The sequence below is a fragment of the Homo sapiens genome, chromosome 11, assembly GCF_000001405.40.
Source record: "Homo sapiens chromosome 11, GRCh38.p14 Primary Assembly".
Taxonomy (NCBI): Eukaryota; Metazoa; Chordata; class Mammalia; order Primates; family Hominidae; genus Homo; species Homo sapiens.
This window is the reverse complement of record NC_000011.10, coordinates 86452165-86477062: the sequence shown is the minus strand read 5'-3', so window position 1 is coordinate 86477062 and position 24898 is coordinate 86452165. Positions and strand designations below refer to the sequence as shown.

At 45.2% G+C, this 24898-nt stretch overlaps 1 protein-coding gene across 23 annotated transcripts in view, besides 1 other annotated feature; it reads left to right on the top strand.

Annotated features, from left to right (window-relative positions):
- The window catches only part of ME3 (malic enzyme 3), a 237687-nt gene that overhangs the window by 195554 nt on the left and 17235 nt on the right, over positions 1-24898 (top strand). For 12 of the 23 annotated variants that reach the window (NR_172888.1, NR_172889.1, NR_147828.2 and 9 more), the window contains one exon: positions 11863-11972. Coding sequence is in view for 10 of the 23 variants with exons in the window: in NM_001395868.1 (NP_001382797.1) it covers positions 11863-11972 (110 nt within the window). In the remaining 13 variants the exon portion in view is untranslated. Of the gene's footprint in view, positions 1-11862; positions 11973-12158; positions 12199-12934; positions 13020-14385; positions 14498-14790; positions 15034-19303; positions 19698-24898 lie in introns of those variants that run through there. The other 11 variants (NR_147830.2, NR_147829.2, NR_147831.2 and 8 more) reach the window with 6 other exon arrangements.
- Positions 16562-17090: an enhancer, noted in NCBI's record as "H3K4me1 hESC enhancer chr11:86171015-86171543 (GRCh37/hg19 assembly coordinates)". NCBI's record gives its function as "activates a minimal SCP1, AML or CMV promoter by ChIP-STARR-seq in primed H9 embryonic stem cells {active_cell/tissue: H9 hESC(primed)}" and the evidence as "EXISTENCE:reporter gene assay evidence [ECO:0000049][PMID:30033119]".

Sequence of the window (24898 nt, the reverse complement as noted above, 5' to 3'; positions counted from 1 at the left end):
GTGATAGTAAAAAAATCATGTTTGCTATTATTATTAATTTAGGCAGTTTCCAAAGCCATTCTCCTTTAGGCAGTGCTTCACTGTGCCCACATTCACGCATTCATGTTTGAGTTAATATATCCATTCACATGTCCAACACTGCTGTCCACAGTCCCTCACCCATCCCTCCCCTTCATTCCAATATTACTTTTCCTCTCTTCCCCAGTGCTAAACCTAGGAAGGAAAAAACAAAAACAAAAATGAAACAGCCCTAGGTGTGATCCATTTCCATTTTAGATCCCTGGTATGTGCAATTAGTAAATGCTTGGTCTTCATCCCCACCCCCAACACAGACCTATTCAGTTTTGCTCTCCCTCCTCCAGTGGACGGTGTTGTGTAGATTCATGTGTACATAGAGGGGAGCAGTATGGTCCGTGTGTTCCTGAGGGTGAGGTGTTCTTATATTTTTTTGCAGCTGTTTGAAGCTGAGTGTTACTTGGGCCTTTCAAACTCACCACTCAGAGTCAGTCACCCCCTCAAGTAACCAAACATCTTTTCATGAGACACAGTTCTCTGTACAGAAATGAGAAACAGAAGCTTGCCCAAGAGAAAGCTGCAAAATTGCTCTGAGATCACCCACTGATACTGACCTATTCAGAGGCTCCACATATAGAAGCCTTGTACTTTGCCCTCAGAGCTGGAAGGATGCCTTTGATGGCTCCAACTCCCACCCCTGTTCCTGCCGCTCCTTAAATGTGTTGTCTCTGTTACAGAGGCAGAGCCTTCGTGCTCGCTATTTTCCCAGCCTTGAATGTCCTTTCATTTTCAGGGCTGTTTCCATCTCATCATTCAGGCCTGCAGATAGGTCCACAGCAGGCAAGGTCAAGTGTGGAGGTCTGTACAAGACAGGATGTTAGAACTGAGCGTCCTGCCAAAAGCTTAGCTGAGGTTCTGTAGCTCCAAGCTTCTCCTGTTGGTTTTAACACAACATATGCAAAGAAAAATCCCTAGGCATATAGCATCCAGACTACAAAGGAAGTTAATGAGGATTTTATGTTAATTTTAAAAGATTGTGAAAAGCTGTTAGGTCTAAGCCCCGATTGCAATGTTTCACAGGGGTGTTCACATTCTGAGTCCCTCTCAGCATAGAGGGTCACTGCTCTCTCTCTCTCTCTTTCTCTTTCTCTCTCTCTCTCTCTCTCTCTCTCTATATATATATATATATATATATACTGAATATTAGGAATGCCTTCTGTGGTTCAGTCTGTATCTTAGAATTCTCATTTTCTCACTGGATCCAGCCTAGGACTTTAATCTTGCATTCTTGGAATATCTGAGCAAGAAACAACCCACTCATTTGATCCAATTTCCTCACTTTTTAGATGAGGAAACTGAGACCCAAAGAGAAAATTATTTCCCCAAGGCCAGATAATGAGAAAAGCTGTGGGAAATTAAGGAAAACTTATCCAATTATGTGCCCTCCTTCATGTAATTCATGAAATTTCCTCCAAATTTTCATTCAGGCTATATTTATCACGTGCCTTCCCTGTACCCCACAATGTGGCCAATACAAATATATTAGTTCCTTCTCACATTGTTATAAAGAAATACCTGAGACTGGGTAATTTACAAAGAAAAGAGGTGTAATTAGCTCATGGTTCTGCCGGCTTTACAGGAAGCATGGTGCCAACATCTGCTCAGCTTCTAAGAAGGCCTCAGGAAGCTTACAATCATGGCAGAAGGCAAAGCGGGAGAAGGTATATCACATGGTGAAAACAGGAACAGGAGAGCAAAAGGGGAGGTACTACACACTTTTAAACAACCAGACCTCATGACAACTCACTATCACGAGGACAGTACCCAGAGGGATGGTACTAAACCATTCATGAGAACTCCTCCCCCATGATCCAATCACTTCCCACCAGGCCCCACCTCCAACATTGGGAATTACATTTCAGTATGAGATTTGGCTGGCAACATACATCCAAACTAAATCAACAAAGAAAAGACTTGTCCTGAAGAATTCAATTTTCCCTGTGATTATAACATGGACACATAAAGTCACCAGAAAAATAGTTTAAGACCACATTCAGTTATTTGTTTTCCTATTTATTCATGTATTCATCCATCCATTTATTAATTCCTTTATTGAATATGGCAAGAAGTCAGAAGTAGACTTTGCTGTCAAGGAATTTATAAACTACAAGGGAAATTCCCAAATAATTACTGCTGGGTTTGCATAGATTTAATGTGTACGCAGCCAATGGCCTTGCCTGCAGCGTTGATCAAGGTTGATAAAGGGCATAAGGTGATCAAAAGATCTGGGACATTTACTTGGACTTTAAAAGTCATGACCTTATTCCCAGGAAAGCGCTAGCAACTGAAGAGAACACTCAGAAAGGGCCTCATTAATCAAAAAACCTTCATGGAGGACACCTGTGGCCTCATGCCAACCTGATATGCACAATCTAAGGACAAATATGGGCTGACATACATGCTGAAGCCCCCAAGCCAGCCAGTGGGTTGGTGGCCAAGAAAGCTTTATAAGCAGGAGGTTGAGGAGTGAGTTGCCATGTCCTAGAGGAAAACCTTTGTGTTGCCACTGACCTTTGGGAGGTTGAGAGGTCAGCAGGTCAGCCACCATCCCCTCCCCAGCAATGAGATTTCTGGCGCCATTTGGTGTGCTTGCCCCGGAACTCAGACAAACAGGGAAAATCAGGAGGAAAGCCAAGCTGTTCCTGAGTGTTTTCTGTCTGGCCAAGACTTGCCGTCAGAGCTGTGACTGAGGAATGGCCACATTATCCTGGGACTTTTGCTTAGAAGTTACTGCTTCCTGTGACTATGTTGCGAGTCAATGGGAGTTTTCCCCCTTAGGCCAGAATCCCAGTCTCAGGAGCCTGCCAGTCTGGCTGCCAGACCCCAGCACACCAGGGAATCTCCCAGTCTGGGAGCTGGGAAGGGAAGGGCCTCAGAGGTCCACCCTCACATCATGGGCTGAAATCCCTTCCACGACTTCCGTGCCAAGTGGAGCTCCGGTGACCATGGACTCACCTCCAGTGACCAGCAGTCTCTTTCCAACCAGTGTTTGAAATCTCTGCCTTATATGGCACTGGAATCTGTGTCCTTCTGACTTCCACTCATTGGCTCTGCTTTTGCCTCAAAGCCATACAAAATCAATCTGCTTAAGTCCTTGTCCACAAACAGTCGTTCCTATGATTGAAGATAATCATTATGCCCAATTACACTTGCCCTTCTCAGGCTCCGTATTCCCTCTTTCTCCAATCCACGGTATCCAGTTTTTTCACCCATGGTATAGATTCCCTGTCATCCTTGTGAATCCTTCCGCAAAACATGACCCCCTCTGCTGATTCACACCCCCAGCAGAATAAGTCACTCTTCATGCAAGTCTGTGGCAGAGTTGTGCTGTGACGGCCTCTTATCTGTCCTATGACATCTGACTGTGTCTTCTTCCCATTCTAACTGTGCTCTAGCCCCCACCTCCTCCTAGCTCTCAGGATCTCACCAGCCCTGTCATCTCTCATCTCCCCTCCATTCTGACTCCTGTATCTCATATGTATACCTCCCATCCCCAAAACAAATTCACCGTTCAGTCCCACTTCCCCCAACAGCTGTCACCCTGCCTACTTCACAGCCAAGCTTCTTGAAATTTGTGATGACCAACATTTCCTCCCCTTCCATTTTCACTTTAACCCCATGCCAGATGGTTCCCTCCCTTCCCCACCAAAAGTGGTCTGCGAAGGTCACCAGTGATCCTCTAAACAACGACTCCAATGTACACTTTGTGGTCCCTGTTTCACTTGACATGTTGGCAGTATTTGATGCTCCCGACCACGGCCCATTGCGTGGCTCTGGTAGCAGCTGCTGTGTGGGCCCAACCTGCTCGCTATCCTTGGCTGGACTTTCTTCCACTATCTCTCTCTGCTCCGTGGATGCAGGGTGTCCCAGGGTTGTGTCCTTGCCCTGCTCCCTGCTCTGTGCACAGGCGCTGCCTGAGAACCCTCACCCAATCCCATGGCTTCAACTGCTCACAGTGCCCTGAGCTGCCTGTTCCCCTCCGCTGACCTCATGTATAGCCCATTGCTTCATGAACACGTTCGTTAGAACGTTCCACAGAACCTGGGACTCCTCATGTGCCAACTCCGCCTTATCAAGTAAGTTTGCCTTTCTTTCCCCATCCCCAACCTTGATGAGTAAAGGACTTCACCCTCCATCCTCGGCCCTTCCTGGGCTCCTCCTTCTCATTCATCTCCATATCTGGTCTATTATTAAATCCTGTCCTTAATAATCATTGCCTCCGAGGACTCAGTGCCTATAGTGTGCTGGATTTTTATGTACATTATCTCATCTAATTTGCACAACAGGACTGCAAGAGAGGTATTATTAGCCCACTATTATCAGTGAAGACTGAAATTTGTATCAAGTACATTTCCTGAGGTCATGCGTTTAGTAAGTGATGGAGCCACACCTGCTCAGTCTCAAAGCTGTCTATGCTCTGCCACACTTTGTCTTTCCTCCAGGCTACTCTTTTCACTTCCTTAACATATTTTACCCAGCTTCTTCTCTGCCTACATGTCTGCACTGCCTTATATTAATACCAGGACTTCACAATCTCTCACTGCAGTTCCATGCCTCCTTGTCTCCAGTCTGTCCTCCCAGCTGTCCATCCCATCATCCATTTCTGCCAGAATAAACTTCCTAAAACACCCGCCACCTTCCTGCCTAAAGCCCTCAGTGGGTCCCCCTTGCCCTCCAGATTGCTTAGGCTGTTTACATGGGCATGAAAGGGGTGGCTCCTGCATTCCACCAAGGCTCATTTCTCCCCATGTCCTCCCCATCTTCAGCCTCCTCTGGCAAGATCCGGCCCTGTGTATTTTCCTGCAGCTCCAGGAAGGCACCATACTCACTCAGTCCTCATGCATATGCTGTTCCCTCTCCTTGAGATGCCCTCCTCCCTCCTTCCATCCGCACCCATCCACAGTCTGTCTGGGAACCTCTGCTCTTCCTTCAAGCCCCACCTCCTAATCTCCTGCCCTGTGAAGCCCTCATTGCCTCTCCCCGCTGCAGAGCTGCCTGCCCTCTTTGAGGCTTCCCATGTACCTGGCACATATCTTTATTATTACTGATGCCACAGAGTATTGCAACTGTTTTTTTATTTTCCTGTGTCCCCATTCAACTGTGAAATCTGTGAGGTTTTAGCAAGTAGTACAGTCCCTTGTTCATAGTAGACACTTTGAAATGTTTGTTTTGTTTTGCTTTGTTCTTCTAAGATATGGGTCTCACTATGTTACCCAGGCTGGCCTTGAACTTCTGGGCTCAAATGGTCTTCCCACCTTAGCCTCTTGAGCAGCTGGGATGACTGGCATGTGCCACCATATCAAGCATAAAATGTTTGTTGAATTGAATTTTTATTACATCATACTTAGTATAGTTTCTGGCACAAAGAAGATAACTTGCCGAATACATTTCTTTAATTGAAACAGAAATGTCAATAAGTAATTGTAATACAATGTGACATATATTGTTACAGATATGTCCAGAATATCACGGGACCCCAGAGAAGACAAGAATTAGCACTATTTTAAGGGTAGGGAAAGAGATGTGTCAAGGAAGACTTCTTAAAAGAGGTTACAGTTTAAGATCTGGGCCTACATCTGTAATCCCAGCACTTTGGGAGGCCAAGGTGGGTGGATCATGAGGTCAAGAAATCAAGACCATCCTGGCCAACATGGTGAAATCCCGTCTCTAGTAAAAATACAAAAATTAGCTGGGCTTGGTGGTGCATGCCTGTAGTTCCAGCTACTTGGGAGACTGAGGCAGGAGAATTGCTTGAACCCGGGAGGTGGAGGAGGTTGCCACTGCACTCCAGCCTGGTAACAGAGCAAGACTCTGTCTCTCAAAAAAAAAAAAAAAAAAAAAAAAAAGCTCTGGGCCTTACAGTTTAAGTAGGGGTTGGCCTAGACAAAAAGACGCCTTCTAGACAGAGAGAACCAGCAGCTTGAGCAAAGACAGGGGACCGTGCAAAGGCCCACAGTGGTTAGGAAGCAGGAAAACGTGCCTAGAATGTCAGAAGACCTGAGTAGGTGTTCAGCAATAGAGCTGGGGCCAAAATGAACACTACCTAAGGAATTTGGATATAACCCCACAGGCAGTGGAAGCCCTCTTAGGATTTTCAGAAAATAAGTAGCCGACATAAACTTGTGTTTAGAAATATGTGGAAGATGGATTGGGGGAGGGGAAATAAACTTGAAGGAGGTGAAATCAGTCACTGTAGGGTCCTGGACAGAAGCAGCAATGGCAGTAATCCTGGGGAGAGATGGCCTCGCCCTGAATCCACCCAGCACCCCCTGCACAAAGTTCTTCCTGCAGAGCCATGTCTCCCAAAGTGTGTTCCACCATAGGTGGTGAGGATGAGATGCAACAGAGTAAGGTGTCTGGTCAAATAAGCTTTGAACATGCTGGGTTAAACAGGTTTCTTATTGCAAGATTTTTCAGAGCTTTTAATACACATTGTGTATGCTATGTGTAACACACAGAGTTTTCCAAATTTACTTAACCACAGAACCTCTCTCTAAGACCATCTCAAGGGACTAGAGTTTAATGGAATATGTAAAATAGAAAAAAAAAGACCAAGAGTTTTTATGATTCTGTCAGATCTAGTTCCTGGAAGGAAATAAAAAAAGAAATAGTTTTCCATTGGGTGACAACTGATAATCTCACTGAACGCTCTGCTGTGGAAGTCTTGCATGTGGGTTTTTTTCTGGGGGGAGGGGAACAGCATGGACTACCATGGAAATACCAGAGGTAGCTTTTAGTCATTCTATTTAGAGGCAGGTTGAGCAAGTTCACCTTCTCTTCCCAGTCCCTCATGTTTGTTCAGGCTTGAAAGAGGTCAGACCCAGGTGTTTGAAAAAATGGCAGGTCCTGACCTATGGAAAAGAGAAACTAGGTCTGCAGCCCCTGGAATGCTCTGCACCACCAACATCCCTCACTCTGCATTTGGTTCACACACTGGGGAGAAGGGCAGAACAGCCACCTCAGACCCTCCTACCCATGGGAGGATGCATCCCAGGTGGCAGGTGCTGGCACTGTTGGTTGTGGCCTGGGTATCATCACACCGTCACACACAGCTCACCAGAACTCCAGAACTCCCAGGCACAGGTCACTGTTTGCTGGCTTCCCCTTGCCTGAGTACTGGAGGGAAAAAAAAAAAAACAAAATCAAACATCCACTCATTAGCCTTGTGTCTCTAAGTGAGCCCTGGCTTTGGAATGCCTTCCCTGGCCACTCCAAGGCCATTTCCCAGCTGAGTCCCCAGGGTTGGGAAGTCTGGGAAGCTATCTGTGTGGCTTGGGAAGGTGCCTCTTTCTCCATTGCAGGAATTCTCCACTGGAGAAGCATCAGATGTTCCTCAGCCCCTGCCAGGGCTGGAGGGTGAAGAGTTCAAAATTGCAAAAGGGGACAGATAAGCAGAAGCCTCCCCGGTAAGTGGGAGCTTCTCGCAGGACAGAAGGATAGACATCAGGCTGCTGCCAGCACTAGAATCGGGAAGCTGCCCAGAGCCCTGAGTAGGGAGCTGAGAGCACGGCTTCTTGGGAGGGGTCCTGCCTCTGTTCCACAGTATGACCTGGAGGGTGGCTGCCTTGCCCTGCTCACTCAGCTGGTCCAGTTTGTGTAAGCACAAAGGGCTCTAAGACACTCACCCCCCATATTTTCCTCACATGTTGCTCTCACAGAGAAATGTCTAACCTCCCTGCTCTGGACTTGTAGAAATACCTGAGTGAAGCTTCTAGTATTCAATTCCAGCCCCAAATATTAAGTAGGTTGTGCTACTCCTCCAATGCTCTCAGACCAGGAAACTGAGACCCAGACAGAGAAAGGGGACTCAGCCAAGACTCCTGCATTTTTTCTGTCTCCCTGGTCAATGTTTTCTTCACCATACCTATGATCTTTCCCAATGGAGAAAGAAATCCAGCCTTATTACCTATTTAGCTTTTTTTTTTAAGAACCTGTAAGGCTATCAAAATTAAACTGAAGCTGGTTCTTGAGTCAGACAGAACCAGATTTAAATTCCAGCTCCACCACTTACCAAGTGCAATAGAGTACATAGCCTGTGAGCAAATAACTTGCAATCTGTAGCTCCAGATTCCTTCTCTGGAAACAGCGCCTACATCATAAGGTGATGTGAAGATTAATTAAGATAATGTATGTAAAGAGCTCAGCACGGTGCCCAGCAGGTAATAAACACTAGATAAAAGCTAGCTATTTTTTTTACCATTGTTGTTAGCATTTTAATGAATATGTAAGGCAATTGATAATTAACATTTAAATTAGTGTTATGGTGAAAGCTCATTACCTGTATTTGGATGTACAGGGATGAATTGAGAAACATTTTTTTATCCACTAAGCCATTTAAATTTCCACTTTGAAATTTTCTCTTCTTAATTGGTTTTTAATTAGTTTAAAGAGTTGGCAGACAAACTCCAAACATTAAGTTTCCGCCAACTCCTTCATAGATCCAATCCACCCCTTCCTAAAACATTAAACTATAGTATCAGATCATCACAGGTGCTCAATGAATGTGTTTGGATGGATGAATTTATGGATGGGTGAATGGATGGATGGATAAATCAAGGATGGATGGATGATGGATGGATGGATGGATGATGAATGGATGGATAAATGAATGATGGATGGATGGAAAATGGATGGATGGATGGATGGATGATGGATGGTTGGATGATGATAGATGAATAGGTGGATGGTGGTTAAATGGATGGTGCTAAGATAGTAGCACCATGAAGTAACCACCTTTGGTTCAGACTGGATAGTGGTCTGGTTTCATGAAAAGCCATAATGGAGGGCCTGAGGCACTGGGATAACATGGTGAAGGGCTCAGAGGTCTTGGTGCAGACAAACAGCAGGTGCAGTGGAAGTGAAGAGACATAGAAGGAAAGGCTGTGGTCAGAGACTGAGATGGGACAGTGTGAAATCCTAGAGTAGGAGTAGTTCCTGGGAATAAAAGGTCCAGAAAGCAGCCAGGGGATGGTTACCCAAGGTGGAGAGGAGTTCTGGGGTTCCTTAAATCCGGTGAGTTCTAGGAACTATGAATCCAGATTATTGGATGAGTGATTCACATGGCCTCTTATGCAATTCCAAGCTAGGATTAAAGTGACCTCAATTAATGAGGTTTTATTCTATATTCCATCAAATTGCTCCATGGGAGGGAGGGGGGTTTCTTATATAAAACTGAATTAAATATAAATAATAATCATACACTGAACAAAGGTATTTATTTATAATTCTTGCCTTATTTTTACCTCAGTGAATGAATGGTGGTGTTGCTTAAAGGGGTGTGTGTGTGTGTGTGTGAGAGAGAGAGAGAGAGAGAGAGAGAGAGAGAAACAGAGAGAGACAGACACACAGAGAGAGACAGAAAACGTTCATCACATTGTTTTGTTGTCTGACCTTTTCAGCATTTTAGCTGCAGGCCAGTTGTGGGGCAACACTGGGAATCTTGTAGAAATTATATATAGCAAAATGTCACCAGCAACCAAAGACATTGTGTTCCTCCCCACCCAATCCAAATACTTGAAATTCACAATAAATTTTGGCTTGGTGAGCATGGCATTATATTTGTGCATGGGAGGTTTTATTTATCATTTCTATTCATAGTACAAGCAAAAGAGGGCTGGATGGTGGGTGGGGAGACACAGTGAGCCCCCCACCAAACCTCCATCAGCATTTGTTCTATGACTGTGAAGAAGAATTGTGGCCAGAATGGCATTTGTGTTTAGCATTTTATGGTCTAAAAATTACCCTCAGGCTTCAGTTAGTAATACTGTATTGTATACTTGAAATTTACTAAGAAAGTAGATCTTGAGTTTTCTTACCACACACACAAAATAGTAACTATATGGGGTGATGGATGTGGTAATTAGCATGATTGTGGTTATCATTTCACACTGTACACATATATCAAATCATCACATTTTATACCTTCAATATATGCAATTTGTATTTGTCAATTATGCCTCAGTAAAGCTGGGGGAAAAACCTCACCCTCAGCTTTTAACCCTCACAATAGTTCACAGATGTTAGCCAGGCAGATATTATTGTGCCCACTGATGGATGGGAAACTGAGGTAGAATAGAGAGGTGAAGTGACATGTGCAGGTAACTCAGTTGAATGTGGAGAGCCAGGTCCGGCCTATGGCCTTCTAACCCACGCCCAGCACTCTAAGCACTGGACTGTGGCAAGTCACTGCCCCTGTGTTTCTGCCCCTGTAATGTGAATCCATCTCCCAGTCCTTCTACCAACAGCCTTGACTAGCTAAGGTTCTGGAAGGACCACGGCAGGAACAAATATTTGCCCACCCACTGGTATTTGGGCTGGACAGCATAAGCCATGCACAAAATTATAAGGCTGGAAAAAATGTTTTGTGGGCCATTTCAGTGCTCCTCACTCCCTCATAGCCACCAGCCTCATCAGAAAGATGCCCCGAGAGCACAGGAAGCCCCCCAAGCATGTGCCCCACCCACCTTCTCTAACAAGGTAATAAATATTTCCACAGCCAGTCCCAAGCTGCTCCCAAGCCTGTAGGTCACCAGGTTGGAAGGGCAGGCCACTTCTACCTGTTACATGCCCTGACACCTCTTATGGATCAATCAGGACATTTTTTCTCAATGACATGACCTCAGATGCTGTTACTCAGCCACAAATTGACCCATGAGGTGAAACCTATTTTTATCCATGTATTAAGTAGTTTTTAATAATCCATACTACACTTGCTTACAGAAAGGCTAAAGACACAAACAAAACTATCAAACACCAGCATCAAAGAGCAAGAATGGAGTAAAGGGGAAATCTGTGTGCAGAAGCCCACAGAAGCTGAGGGGGCCTGTAGCAAATGAGCAAAAACTTCACTCTCAGCTTCCTTACAGGCAATGTTAAAAGGAAAAATAGGTTACAAAACTCGAACAAACTCAGTCATTTTTAAGGGAAGGCCATGAAATCTAGGAGGCAATGCTAGCATGGATTTTAAATAAGGCATATCAAGCATCTTAATGGCCATTGTCTTCACCCACAAGGCATTGTTTCTCAGGGTTCTCTGGGCTGTCAGAATCAGAACCATCTGGGGTGCTTGTTCAAAATGCAGGTTCCTGACCCCATCCCACACTCCGAGTGAGACTCTGTGAGATGGGCCTGGTGACCTGCTTTTTAAACAAGGTCAGTAACTGATTCTTCTACACCTGCAAGTTGGAGAACAACTTCACCAAGATGTTAGTAGATAACAGTGTCTTAATGCAGTGGCCTTTCCTAACCATCCTTTCATCTTACCAGAGAACAATGCCTGGTGCCAGAGGAGTCTCTAGTGGAAGAGCTCCAGGCCTCAGGGTCCAGCAAGAGAGATATTTGGAGGATGCAGGGGCTCCCCACCTACTTGTGGTGGGGAAGCTGGTCTGTCTGCATGCACTTGGATGTGGAGTGAGCTTTCTTCTGGGATCTCAGATGGCCACAGGCTACACAGAGGGCAGGCCCCTCCTTGGCCCTCTTGTCACTCCCAGGGCTGGCCATGGCAGCCATGGGAGCCACCAGCGCACCTTAGCTATAGTGATGCTGCCTTGGCTGACCACCAAAGCCAGGGTCCTACTCTCTCCCTTCCCCATCCTCATCCATGATAGGGCAGGCAGAGCTCCAAGCCCAGGAGTCCAGGAGCCAACCAGTGGCAAAAACACAGATGAAGGAGCCATGCCACCTCCCACCCCCAGGCCTGCACCTCCCCACCCCACTGTGCAAGCTGGGATCTGTCAGGGATCTGCCTCAGAGAGGCAATCATGGGTTTCTTCCTCTCCCTCCACACAGGTTTGGAATAAATTGCCTCATCCAATTTGAAGACTTCGCCAATGCCAATGCCTTCCGCCTGCTCAACAAATACCGTAACAAGTACTGCATGTTCAATGATGACATCCAAGGTAGGTTTCCACCCCACCTGATGAAGCTACAGGGGACTAACTTATATTCTCAACCTCACTGGGATGCCAAAGGGGTGAGGAAAGGCTGTCACCCCATAGTTGGTTTGCTGCCAGCAGCTGTTGAAAAAAGAATATTAAACTTAGATTCAACTCCTACTTGGCTAATTCTTAATTCTCTGAATTCAGTTTCCTTTTCTACAAAATGAAGATCATTACTACTTCAGAGGTAGGTAAGAATTATGTGATTTAATGTATGTAAGAAATTCTAAACAATGCTGTAATTCACTAGCAAGTTAAACATGAACCAGTCACTTCTCTGACCACAGTTTCATCATCTAGTCAATGGAGAGGATAACAACTGCCTTGAAAGAGCATGGTGAAAATTTACAAGGCTAATGCTATAGAAAGTACTAACCCATAAAACTCATCAGACCGAAGCACCAATCACCATAAAAATGGCCTTCCCCAGCCATAATAACTTGCTTTTAGACTTTCCAAATACAAGGCGTGTCTCTGTCAGGAAGTCAGGACAATTCCTTCTCTGGTTTTGACTGAAGTGTTTGTTGCTCATAATGACCCTGAGAGAGACACTGACACCAAGAACCCAGAGCCTTCCAAAGCCAACATGAAGCAGCTTCTAGTTCAGGTTCCCTTTGGTCATCTATTCTGTGACCCAGAAATATCTGAAGGTACTTGCTTCTTACTGTGGAGTTACCAGTGTCCAAAGCTGGAGTGGAAAGGGATTCATCTCACTTGATCTAGAAGTGCACAGGAAGGAGCACTGTGAGCTGTTCCTAGCATTTTGTAAAGTCCGAGAGAAACCTTGATGATGCTTTAACAAATGAAGTTTGCCAAGCAATCTTTTAAAAATCAAAGATCCATGTCAGGTGGAAAGAATAAGTTGGCAAGAGACAGGTGTTGGCCCTGGATTGCTAAAGGTTGGCCAACTTCTCATTTTGCAGATGACTTCTCCAGAGGCCCAAAGAGGTCACAACTTTTCTTCAAGTGAGTCAGGGATAGATCTAAAAGAAAAGAACTCAAACTCAGGTAATAACAGCTAAGGTTAATCGCTGAACGCTTATTGTATGTCGGGCACTGTTCTAAGCACTCTACAGTTTTAAACCGATGAGACATTAGCATCTCTGTCTTATGAATGAAAACACTGAGACAGAAAAAGAGTAAGTAACTTTTATAGCCATTAAGCATAGAGTTGAGATTTGAGCCCAGGCATTCAGACTCTAAATTGCAGTCTATAACCATTCACCATGCCATTCCCAGATCTTATATTACAAACCAAGTTGCCCTTTTTTCCCCATTATGGTCCATATTACAGGGTATAAGAAATGTGATAGACGACTTTTTGTATTTGTCATACATTTTCAAGAGGCAAGATAGCACAGTTAGAACACACTATTAGAAAATTTAGTTTAAAATATATGACTTCAGTGCCTGAAGAGTGGGTATCCAGAGGGAGGGGAGACCCAAAAGAGAAAGCTGGGACATGGTGCCCCCTGCCAGCCTTTCTCCATTCTGTCTCCCCCTTACCCTGTTGCATAGGCCTGGGACAGGCCTCACCCACACAAGCCAGGACACTGCGCAGACAGGGCTGTGCAGTTCAGGAAGATGCGCTGGTGGGGGGAAGCATTCTCTCACTGCCCTCACTCACCTCATTGTCAGCTCAGCAGGTGGGAGTGTGCCTTGGCCCTGAGGAAGCACCTGCCTGCTAGAGCCTGACCGGCTCCCCAGCATGAATTCACCCATGAATCAGCAGCAGGACAGCCAGTCCCCTGAGCCCACCGGGCTGCCAAGGCCAGAGGGTGGAAGTGGAAAACAAGTCCATGCAGGCGGCACACCTGGTGCACAGCCTCCAGCTGTACAGACACACAGACAGCCACATGTGTATACATCCTCCTAAACACAGGCACAGGAACACGGCCAGGCCCTGCAGCCCCCCAGGCCCATCCGCCCCCAAACTGCTGCGATAATGTGCCTCTGAGATGAAACTATCACTCACTATGCCACCCTCTCTTCATGAGAAAGTTCACACCCCTTCAATGAAAATATAAGACTTCGGGATCTTTCTTCTGCTCTCTGCCCTTCCCTTTATTTTACTCCTCTGACCTCCTTACCTGCCATTTCTTTCTGTGTTTGAAAGCCCTGCTCACCCTTTCCCATCATCTTTACCTGAGTAATTTCTACTCACCCTTAAAGACCCAGCTCCAGGGTCTCCTGCCCAGGGAAGGCCCATCAGCCCCTGTTCCCTCAGTCTGATTTGGGTGCCCCTCAGGTGTTCCCCTCTGTCAGTTCTCTTACTTCATTGTACCCCAAAAGCCTGTATTGCATTGTCTGCCTTCCCAGAAGATAATAAGCTTCTGGAGGCAAGAACCATGCCTTATCCATTCTTGTTCCCCAGCTCCCAGCACCGCGCCTGCTACATGATAGATGCCTAATAAATGTTTAAAGAATATATGAATGATGTCTACACATACAAACTGACATCCTCATAAGCACACCCACCTGTTCATGTGAGTATGTCTACACTGGACACCTGCCCCTGCAGCCTCTCTGTTATCCAGGTCATCATTCATGTACAGCTGACCCTTGAACAAAGGTGGTGGTTACAGGTGCCAATGCCCCACACAGTCAAAAATCTGCATAACTTTTGCCTCTCCAGAAACTTAGCTACTAATAGCCTACTGTTGACCAGAAGCCTTACTAATAACATCAGTAGTGGATTAACACATAAATAGACTAGTATCTATCCCTATTTTATGTATGCATGACATACCTAACTTCTTAATTTTTTTGATATTTCTAGGCTACACAGTTCATCTGTGAGTGTTCGCAAATTGTTACAAACCTCCAAAATTTTAAAAAATATATGTATTGAAAAAATCTGCATATAAGTGGACTCACACAGCTCAACCCCATGTTGTTCAAGGATTGACTGTGCTCACATATAAATGCACCTCTACATGTGCTCATACATATTCACATGTGTACCCCACATGCAGACACATGGAGCTGTTTGTTTTTAATTAAATCAATCCATTTGTTTACATTCATTGGTTTTTGTGTCTTGCCTCTATAGCCAATTTTGCTCCCAGGCAAAACCAAGTGGGATGGTTTTCTGGGTCCCAGAGCAAAGAGAAGAAGGACTTCCCATTCTTTTCTCAGAAATTCAAGACTAAAGCCATCAATCTAGAACTCATGAGGACAGCTGGCAAATAGTGCTGGAATGGCAGGAGCCCTGTAAGAACCAGCCTTTGATCAGCTCAGCCTGATGTTTAGGTGTGACCATATCATTAACAACCATAAAGAGGTGGGCAGGAGCATGCGCCACCCAGATCCTCCTTCAAGGAAAGACTTGTTGCCCAGCTGACAGCAAGGCTGTCAGCACATCATGCAGAGCCTCAGAGAGAGAGAGCCACCTCGCCATCCCACCAGGGCCTGGCCTCACCCAGTGATGAGGGAATATGAAGGCTTAACTATTTTAGCCCAGTGCAGGACAACTCAAGCTCCCCATGGAGCTGGCTGAGGCTTTGGGGCCTGCATCACAGCTCAACTTCCCTCTCAACTCATTCTGCTTCCTTCCCTTCCTTCCCACAAGGGCACTTCCTAAAAACATCCTGAACACTCCAATATAACTCAGAATCTTCTTCCAGGGGACCCAAACTGTACCAAATAACATTTTGCATGCACACAGAACTTAAGGTTGAAAGTGCTTTTCATCCTCACTATCTTACAAGTGCCTGGCAACATCCCCCCCTCCCTCACTGGGGGACAAACACAGCTGTCCCACGTCACTAATGAGGAAACTGAAGCCCAGGGGGTTAAAGCTTGCTCACGGCCACACAGCCAGACAAAAGACACAAAGCTGGAACTGGAACCCCATTATGTCTGATTTGGAATTCTCCACTCTCTCCATGGCATCAGGCTGCCTGTTGCTCCTGCACGTGTGAAGTGGTGGAGGGTATCTTCTCGTTAAGGATGAAATTCCAGACCCTGCTGAAACAGTGTGGGTGTCACTGCTCCCTGGCATCCTGCTGCTGTCATCCTGCCCTCCCCATCGTTCCCATTCCTTCCTCTAACTCCTACAGAATGCAGACCTGAAGATGAGGCCCACAGTCACAAGCTGGTTAGGGATGGGTCCAGGCCAGAAGCCTGTGATGTGTGTTCTCATTGTTAAGCAGACAATGAGAAGACTGGTAAGGAATTCCAGGACTAATGAGCCAACATGGCAGATACAGCCCATGCTGCAATGGTCCCCCTTTATCTCCAAATACAAAGTAAGGAGCAATGCCACTTAAGACTACAAGCCATGCTCATAATGGGAGAGGAGCATCTCCATGCACAGAACCACAGAGGGTTGGGAGTGAAGGGGTGAGAGGGAGTGTGGGAAGGAGGAGGAAGCGATGCAGAATCATAGTTGTAAACAGAAACCAAATCACACCACACGTGGGAGCTGGAGACAGATTCTCAGAATCTTCTTGGGAACCACACATGGAGGGGGCTGGAATCGAGCAACCCACATGAAAATGAGACTAGGGTCATGCTACCTACTCTGAACACCAGCCTAGCCTCACATCCTCAGTGGATAGATAGAATTCAATCCTCGGGAGCCCCACTCTACTGATCTCCCAGAGGGCAGGGCCATGCCTGGTGCAGAGCAGGAGCCTAGGGCACATTATTTGACTGTCTCCCAACCAGTCCCACTGTACCATGTGCTCAGAATCACTGACCCCAAGGGGCTGGGCCTCTGAAGCCCGAGCACTTGAAGGGAAGAGAGCTCCCCAGGGCTTCTCATCATCTCTGCCTCCCACCCCAGCTCAGACCCACATAAAGCCTTGGCCCAGGCCCAGGCTGGTCCTTGGTGATCAGAGCTGCCAATGCACTGACTCATTGCTGGCAGCCTCTCAGGAATTTTGGAAAAGGCAGAGGCTCAGGTGACTTTTGTTGTTTCAGCTGGGACCAGAGAAGCATCTCTGCTCTTAGGGAGGAAAGAAAGGCCTAGAAGGGGAAAGGCAGTGGGAATGGTCACACTGGGGACAGGGGAAGGAAGGAGAGCCACACAAGGGGCCAGGTCCAGGGTGCTGCTGACCCAGTTTCCGTGGGTCCCTGGCCTCCACCTGCAAGCTGACCACACAGCATGGCTGGAGCCAGGAAAGCCCCACTGGCTCATCAGCTCTGCAGCTTCCTCCACCTGGCCAGCCTTCCCTGGACCTGCATTGTCCACCAATCCTGCTAAATCTCCAGGCCAGACGCCCATAAAGGCTCCTGTGTGTTATGTCAGGCTATTAGCACCCCCTGTGAGTCCAATGCTTAACAATCAGACATTTCACCAAGACAAGCCTAGGTCTGAATCCCCATTTTCCTGCTTTGTGGCTTTGGACAAGTGGCTGAAATTCTCGGTACCTTCCTTTCCTTATCTGTAAAATGGACTTAACAGTTTTAACAGCCACAACTGCTCATCAGCTAGTACCACCAGAATGGTCAGGGTTTTTTTATAAGGCCAGCATCTGTTATGGTTGGTTGCAGCCTATGCCAATTCCTTGCTAAGTATTTCCAACACCCGTTTATGGCACTGAATTGTTGTAAGGATTGAAGTGATGTATAGGTAGGGACAGGCATGTAGCAGTACTCAGTTCATGGTACCTATTACTATAATCTCTGATGCCTAATAGGCTCGTGACACACAGATACGGGAGGGAAGAAGGAAAGAGGAGACTTAAGGCAGAGATTTTGATGGAGGTGAGGAGAGGGCCACATGTGAGCACAGGACTGGGGAACTCTGGGGAGAAGAGAAGCAGGGCCCCATCTCACTTTTCTCCCCTTTCCCACATATTCCCTATTATTCCAGCCCATTGTATTAGTCACTCTTCTGTGAGTTTTCTGCCAACTCCATGATTTTGAATGTGCTGGTCCCTCTGCCTAGAATTCTCTTCCTGTTCTTCACTACTTTCTGTTTGTCCATAAAGGCTCATTTCACTTCCCCCAGGATAATGCATCCAGGGCCAAGCCACAGACTCTAAATGATCCCACTCTTCCCCAGGATCTGGGAGTGACACTGGACGGTGGTCACCCACTTTACAGAAGGCTTCAAAGTGAGCCAGGGGTAGGGTTCTCAGCCAAGAAATGCAAAATACATCCCTGGAAGATAATGACCTTGTTGGAGAGGGAAGGTGTGGGGGACTTTGCACAGGCTTCAGATGCCACAATAGGGAAGAGGCAGACAGGCAGGAATGGCTGGCTCATCTCTGAAGACCGTGCAGCTCGTTTGTCTTGTTTACAAGATGCCAGGGATTATTTCCAGCTGTCGGGGGTCAACTGCCCTCTCTCTCACCCACCACCACCACTACACACACTGAGTAGCAGTTCTAGGCCTTTCCTTGATCTCTCCCCCTGCCATGAAACTTCCCCTGGTCTCTTTAACCTTTTCTCTCCTCTGTTCCCAAAGCCTTCCTTTTCACTAAGTCCTGTATTCTGAGGCTGTTCTTCACTTCCAGGGCTGTTCCTAGTCCTGAAGTTCATGTGGATCTCATGTATCTGGCTCCTCCGAGATCTCCCCTTTTAGCTGTTGCAACAGCCGAACCTCCAGAGAAGCCAAGAAGATGATCATCATTCCTTCTGGTTCTTTCCAAATTGTGGCAAAACAGGCCTAACCCTATCTTCTCCATTGGCCAGAGAAGTGCCCTCTAGAGAGTCCAGGAGCTCCAGAAAATTCCCTTATGACACAAAATTGCACTGAAGTAATGTAGAAAGCCTTTGCTTGGTGTCCAATAAAGGGGAATCTGAATTTTTGGAACACTTATGCTAGCAACTCCTTGAGAGTTTTATTTGAGAACAAGACTTTTATTTGTCTTTATTTATTCAAGGCCTAGCCCAGAGAAGGCCCAGAACAAACACTCAGCACATACTAATGAATAAATGAATGGCAGTATCTACTGTAGAAAGGTAATTCTTATGGATCGTGGAAGCAGGTGTGGCCTCATAGCAGAGGTTGTTCTGTCCCAATAGGGATCCAGGCCTCCAAAGCCACCGTGGCCAGACCCTGACAGAGCCTAACTCTTTCTGTCCTTCTTGCTGCCTGGGTCAGAAGTTTTCCCTTACCTGATAAAGCAGTAAATTCTTTCCTCCAATAATCTATTGTTCAGCATGGCAACTCCTTTAACTTTGTCAAATCTGACTATTAAAAGCAGAAACTACATTTTCAGCATGTCCTTTTGTGCTATTTCCTGAAGCTACAACCTCAAGTACTCAGTTTGCAGGAAATGTAATTATGGAAATCTCCCTCTGGAAAAAAAAACTTCTTTTTCTTTTACCATGAATAGGAACAACCTGCCACACTTTCAGCTGCCCATGGCATTTATGGGCACAAGTCATGTTCCAGCACATCCCTGGACCCATGGGCTTCTCAGAGTGGTTACCTCGAAACAGCTAAGTAGCTTCCTTTCCAGTTTTAAACCCCTAGTGCATAGCCCAAGAGCACCCCAAAAATGCAGGTTAATGATGGAGATAACTTTATTTGCCAAATTTTGTAATTTGGAGCTTAAGAACCACTGTTTTTCCTCTTGAGTTCTGGCCTGTACCAAGTGCAGAAATAGCTTCCCAAAGGAAAAAAATGGGCAACAGTACCAAATGCTGCTGAGAGGTCAAGAAAGAAGAAGGCTGAGAACTGATTACTGAATTTGGCCACCTGGAGGTACTTGGGGACCCTGACAAGAGGTGGGTCAGTCATTTGATTGGACTGGGTTTCATGGGGACCAAGGAGGAAGGAACTAGATGCAGTTAATATATTCAGCTCTCTAGAAGAGTTTGCCTATAAAGGAGAGTAAGAAATAGGGTGGGACATATAGGACCAAGGGAGGGCCTTTTAAAGATGGAAGTTTTACAGTGTATTTGTATGCTGATGAGAATGATCCAGTAGAGAGGGCAAAATTGAATATGCAGGAAATAGGAGTGGGAATAATGGGACAAGTAGGCAAAAATGATGGGATCCATTAGACAAGTGGTGCTTTAGCTAGAAGCAGGGAGGCATCGATGGTAACAGGGGGAAAAGCAAGTACTTGGACATTGGAGGCAGAGGGTCTGAAGACTTGGTGGTGAAAGGATTCAGAAGTTCTGTCCTGATTAGTTCCATTTCCCTTGAGCGTCACTCTCCACTTTTAAGGGCAAAAAATAGGAGCACAGTAGTCCCTACTTCATGGAGTTGTTGGGAAGATTAATTGAGCAAATCCTGTGCTGGTAAGCACACAGCACAGAGCCAAGGCCACAGTAAGAGTGATCAATAAATGGCAGCTGACCTTGCATCCTTTTATTGTAATGTGTGACTCTTTCCCATCAGATTTCCCATTGTTCTGAGCTCCCCTCCCCTTCCAGAGGTACAGCTGAATGTTGACATCTACTGCCTAAGTTCACTTCCCTCTGCCTCTGCTACCACCCTGCTCCGTCCTTCCCCAGAGAAACCCCATAACACCTCTCCTGCTGCCTTCAACTATAGTCAGGAAGGGCTGTCTGAGCAGCAGAGATCATGAAGGGATGGAAGCAAACCTGGGAAGGAAACCCCCAGGTTTCCTTGCTTTGGGTGACTGACAGGGCCAAGCCACCTTTCTCTGTCAATTTCCTCATCTGTACAACTGTTAAATGCCATGATCTCCAATCCCCATCCAGCACCGAATTTCTGTGAGGAAGCCCAGTTATTCAACCTGCAAATAACCCCAGAAGACGGTTGACACCCAAAAAGAAAAAGACCCATCCAGAGTGTAGTGTCTGCGGGATCATCTCTGATGGAATACCTTTGGCGCCATCTGGTGGCAAATGCTTTGCGCAACCCCTCCTTTCAGGGAGGCAAAAGGCTGTCCTGAAACAGACTCCGATGAGCAGAAAACTCCCGCTAGCCAATGGCAGGAAACTAGTACCTCACCTAGAGAGGCCATCTAGTTCAGTGCATCTCAAACTGGAATGGCATACAAATCATCTGGAGATCTTTTTAAATACAAATTCTGACTCCGTAGAACTGAAATGAAAGAGAGTTTTATGGGCGGAGAGTAAGAAGTATGGAGTTACTTGGAGGGAGGCAGAGAAAATAGGGAGTGCCACATAATAAGTGGACTTTGGAGAAAATTAAGGACAAAGGGGATTTGGGGATTTCAGAAGAGGGTCATACAATGCAATTCTCCTCGCCCTTTCTTTAAGTGATTTAAATACTTATTTAAACTGCTTGTTGATACTTCCTTGGATGTCAGCTTGGTGTTTCTTTTGAATGCAGTACAGTGCTGAGCCTGACCATGATATAGTCCAGCTTCATTCAGGTTAGATAAAAAAGTAGATATGGGAAAAGGAGGCATGGTTAAGGATGCCTGGGGTAGCAAGGAATGTCTTGCTGATCATTTGGGCAGTCTTAAGGAATAATGAACTGCAAAATGGTCTTCTAGATAGGTAGAATAGCAGGGGAAATGTACCTAAGTATAAACATGCATGATATGTGTAGGGAACAATGAATAAAGCTACTGGTACATGGAGTACACGGGGAGGCACTGCAGAGGTAGGTTGATACTGATAACATACTTTTCTGTACATAAACTAACAAAAAGTATGTCATGAACAACTGTTTTATAAAAGCCATCACACTTGTAATCATTTAGTAATTTCTTTCCTTACAAACAGAAATGAGCTTGGTCTATTTTGTTACCATGGTATCCTCAGTACCTGAGCCTGGTTCATAATTGATGCTCAAAAAATAAATGAATGTAACAATTTCCAGTGATCTCTGACTACCCACTGTGTTCTACTGTTTTGTGCCCAAGTTTTAGTAAACTGGGAGTTCTCTGATGGCAGGGATCATGTTTGATTCATCTGTCTTCGACAGTGCCTAGCATGGTGCCTGTCACTTTGTAGGCCCTCAGAGGGTGCACACTGTGTACTTTGCAGACCATGGGAAGGATGTTAGGAAGTCCCAGTATCCTTAGCCCTGTCTCTGTGACACTGCCAACAGTTCAGCACTCCCTCTAGGCCACAGCTGTGTGAAGACAGGGGTGCCTGCACCCCATCTTCTGAGAAGTATGATCCTGCATAGAGTCCCGCCTTCTGATGTCCACAATGATGAATGTGCACTTATTGGCCACCAACTGTTTGCTGTACCCCCTATCTCAGCCACTGAGCCAAGTATAAATCTAGGAGAAGGCCCACCCTAGAGCTAGCTAAAAATAAGCCACCTGGAAAACTAGAAACAGAGAATATAGAAAATTCACTCATACTCCCACCCTGCAACCATTAGTATTTTGTAAGTTCCTTCTGGATTCTATGTGTGTGATAAATGTATACTATTTAATGTTCTCTTCCTTCCAGCCAACTCAATGGAACATAGGTTAGTGCTTAAGCACACAGGCCCTAGAGCTTGATTCCCTGGATTCACATCCTGGCTCTGTTATATGATCTTGTACAATTCAGCAAACCATACCTTATTTTCCCAATCTGTAAAATGAGGATGGCAATAATGAGGATTAAATGAATAACTGTCTTCATGTTAAGACATATAAAGTACTTGGAACAATATCTGATGTTAGTGACTAGCTTCACAGCATTTTCCATGTTGCTGCATAATATTCATGATGATCATTTTTAATAGCTATAAAACAGTCTACTGTGTCTACACTGGCTACTTTACTTAATCATTACTCCTTTGTTAGATGTGTAGGTTATTTCCAGGCATTCTGTATTATAAATAACACTGTCATAAACATCCTAGTATATACATTTTGGACTTTTCTATATAGAGATTCTCAAAAGTAGAAGTATAAGGTCAAAGGGCAAAAATATTTTATGCCTTTGCTCTAGATGGGGAAACAGTTCTCACTAAAGATTGTAGCACTTTAAAACACAAAGTATATTGGAACATTTTACTTTTCATTCCTTCCTCACCAGCCATAGATGACAACAATTTTTTAAATTATCCAAATGTAGTAAGCCATAAATAGTCCTACTTTCATTTCCTTTTGCTTTGTTTTGTTTTGGTTTCACCATCGTGGAGTGTTGCTGATTGTGATTACTTTATTGTGAGCTCTCTGTATCAGAGTCTATACCACTTGCTTTAATAGAGAACACTTAATATTTTTTAAAATGTTAATTGTCTATTAAAGAATTCAAAAGCCAAAAAAGAAACACTAAGGATCTGCTACAACTTCTGAGGCTAAGGGAACAAAGGAAAGAGGAGGTGGCAGTTAGTGGCGTTGGTGTCACTGAGTGGCAGCTATGAGACTAGTTCTCTCAGTGACAGCCAAACTGCAAACCGGGTTCAACTTCTGCTTCAGGAACAAACTGCTGCCATGGAGTTGAAGAACTAAGGCTGTGGGGCTGCCAGATTTAGCAAAACCAAAATGCAGGACACTCAGTTAAATTTTGGTGTTAGAAACAAATAATTTTTAGTGTATTTATGCTCATATTGCATAGGACATACTTATACTTAAAAAAATCTTGTTGTTTATCTAAAATTCAAATTTTACAAAGTGTCCTACATTTTACCTTGCAATCCTAACAAGATGGATGATGCTGGGGTGGTGGGGGGGAAGCATATTATCCCCCTCATCTAGCCTTTGTCTCCCTCTAGCACCTACTATTGGCAGAGCCCAGCATAGAGCAAGTTGGCAAAGCTGAAAAGTGGTTTGCAGACAAAGCAGTGTAAAGAAGCTAATAAACAATTACCCAATAATTGGTACAGTCCATCCTTCTGGCTACCCAGCATCCATATACACTGTCTGGCACATGTGTACTTCCACACAACAAAAACAACTCTGGCCAGGTGTGGTGGCTAACGCCTGTAATCCCAGCACTTTCGGAGGTCAAGGCAGGCAGATCACCTGAGGTCAGGAGTTCGAGACCAGCCTGGCCAACACGCCAAAACGTTGTCTCTACTAAAAATACAAAAAATTAGCTGGGCATGGTGGTGGGTGCCTGTAATCCCAGCTACTCAGGAGGCTGAGCCAGGAGAATTGCCTGAATCCAGGAGGCAGAGGTTGCAGTGAGCCGAGATCACACCATTGCACTCCAGCCTGGGCGACCGAGTGAGATTCTGTCTGAAATTAAAAACAAAAACAAAAACAAAAACAAAACCTCTAACAAAATGCCTCACAACATTCAACTATTTTTCCAACAAATGAAGACATTCTCACCTTTTCTCCAACATGGGGATAGACAATGTCCCAACAGACATTTTAGTCATCTCTGGAAGACAGTCACTGTATCCACCTCTAAGCAGAATTAATAGCTCATAAAATTCAGTCACATTTGAAAACTCTGTTATCTAAAGACTAACATGTGGAATTAACCTCCAACAGAACTTATATAAAATAATAGGGAGGAGAAGGGAGAAGAAATTAGCCCATGTGTACCATTATATATAGTCACATTATGATCAAGGAAGAAAAATATGCCTGGCTGCTACATTCCTTGTTTCTGTAACCAGTCATGAAGTCAAAGATGATTTTTATAAATTTCTTCCTCAACCTTCCATTCCATGTTTTCTTGCCCTCAGACAGGACCTCAGGTGGCTGGGATTCTTTACCCAGTAGAGTGACCCAAACCTTCATTTCTGAAGGATCTGAATCCTCCATAGTCCTGAATATCCTTACTTGCAATATATTTATTAATATTTACTATTGAGCATAGAAATATGAAGATACGCCCCTAGAAGACTCCCCTAAGCTTCAGACATAGTCCTCCCTGTCCTCACTGTCCCTTTGATTATCAGGATGAATCACAACAGCCAGAAAAGTAATCCCCTTCTTTGCCCACTGATTTAGTGGCATGAAGAGCCCCAGCTGGCCAGGGAGCTGTTTCAACTCCAAATTCAATAGAACCATGTTGTAAATCCTAATGGAAGTATTTCCTTCTTGGCAACTAAGACCTCCAATCCAGTAGAGCACAAAATT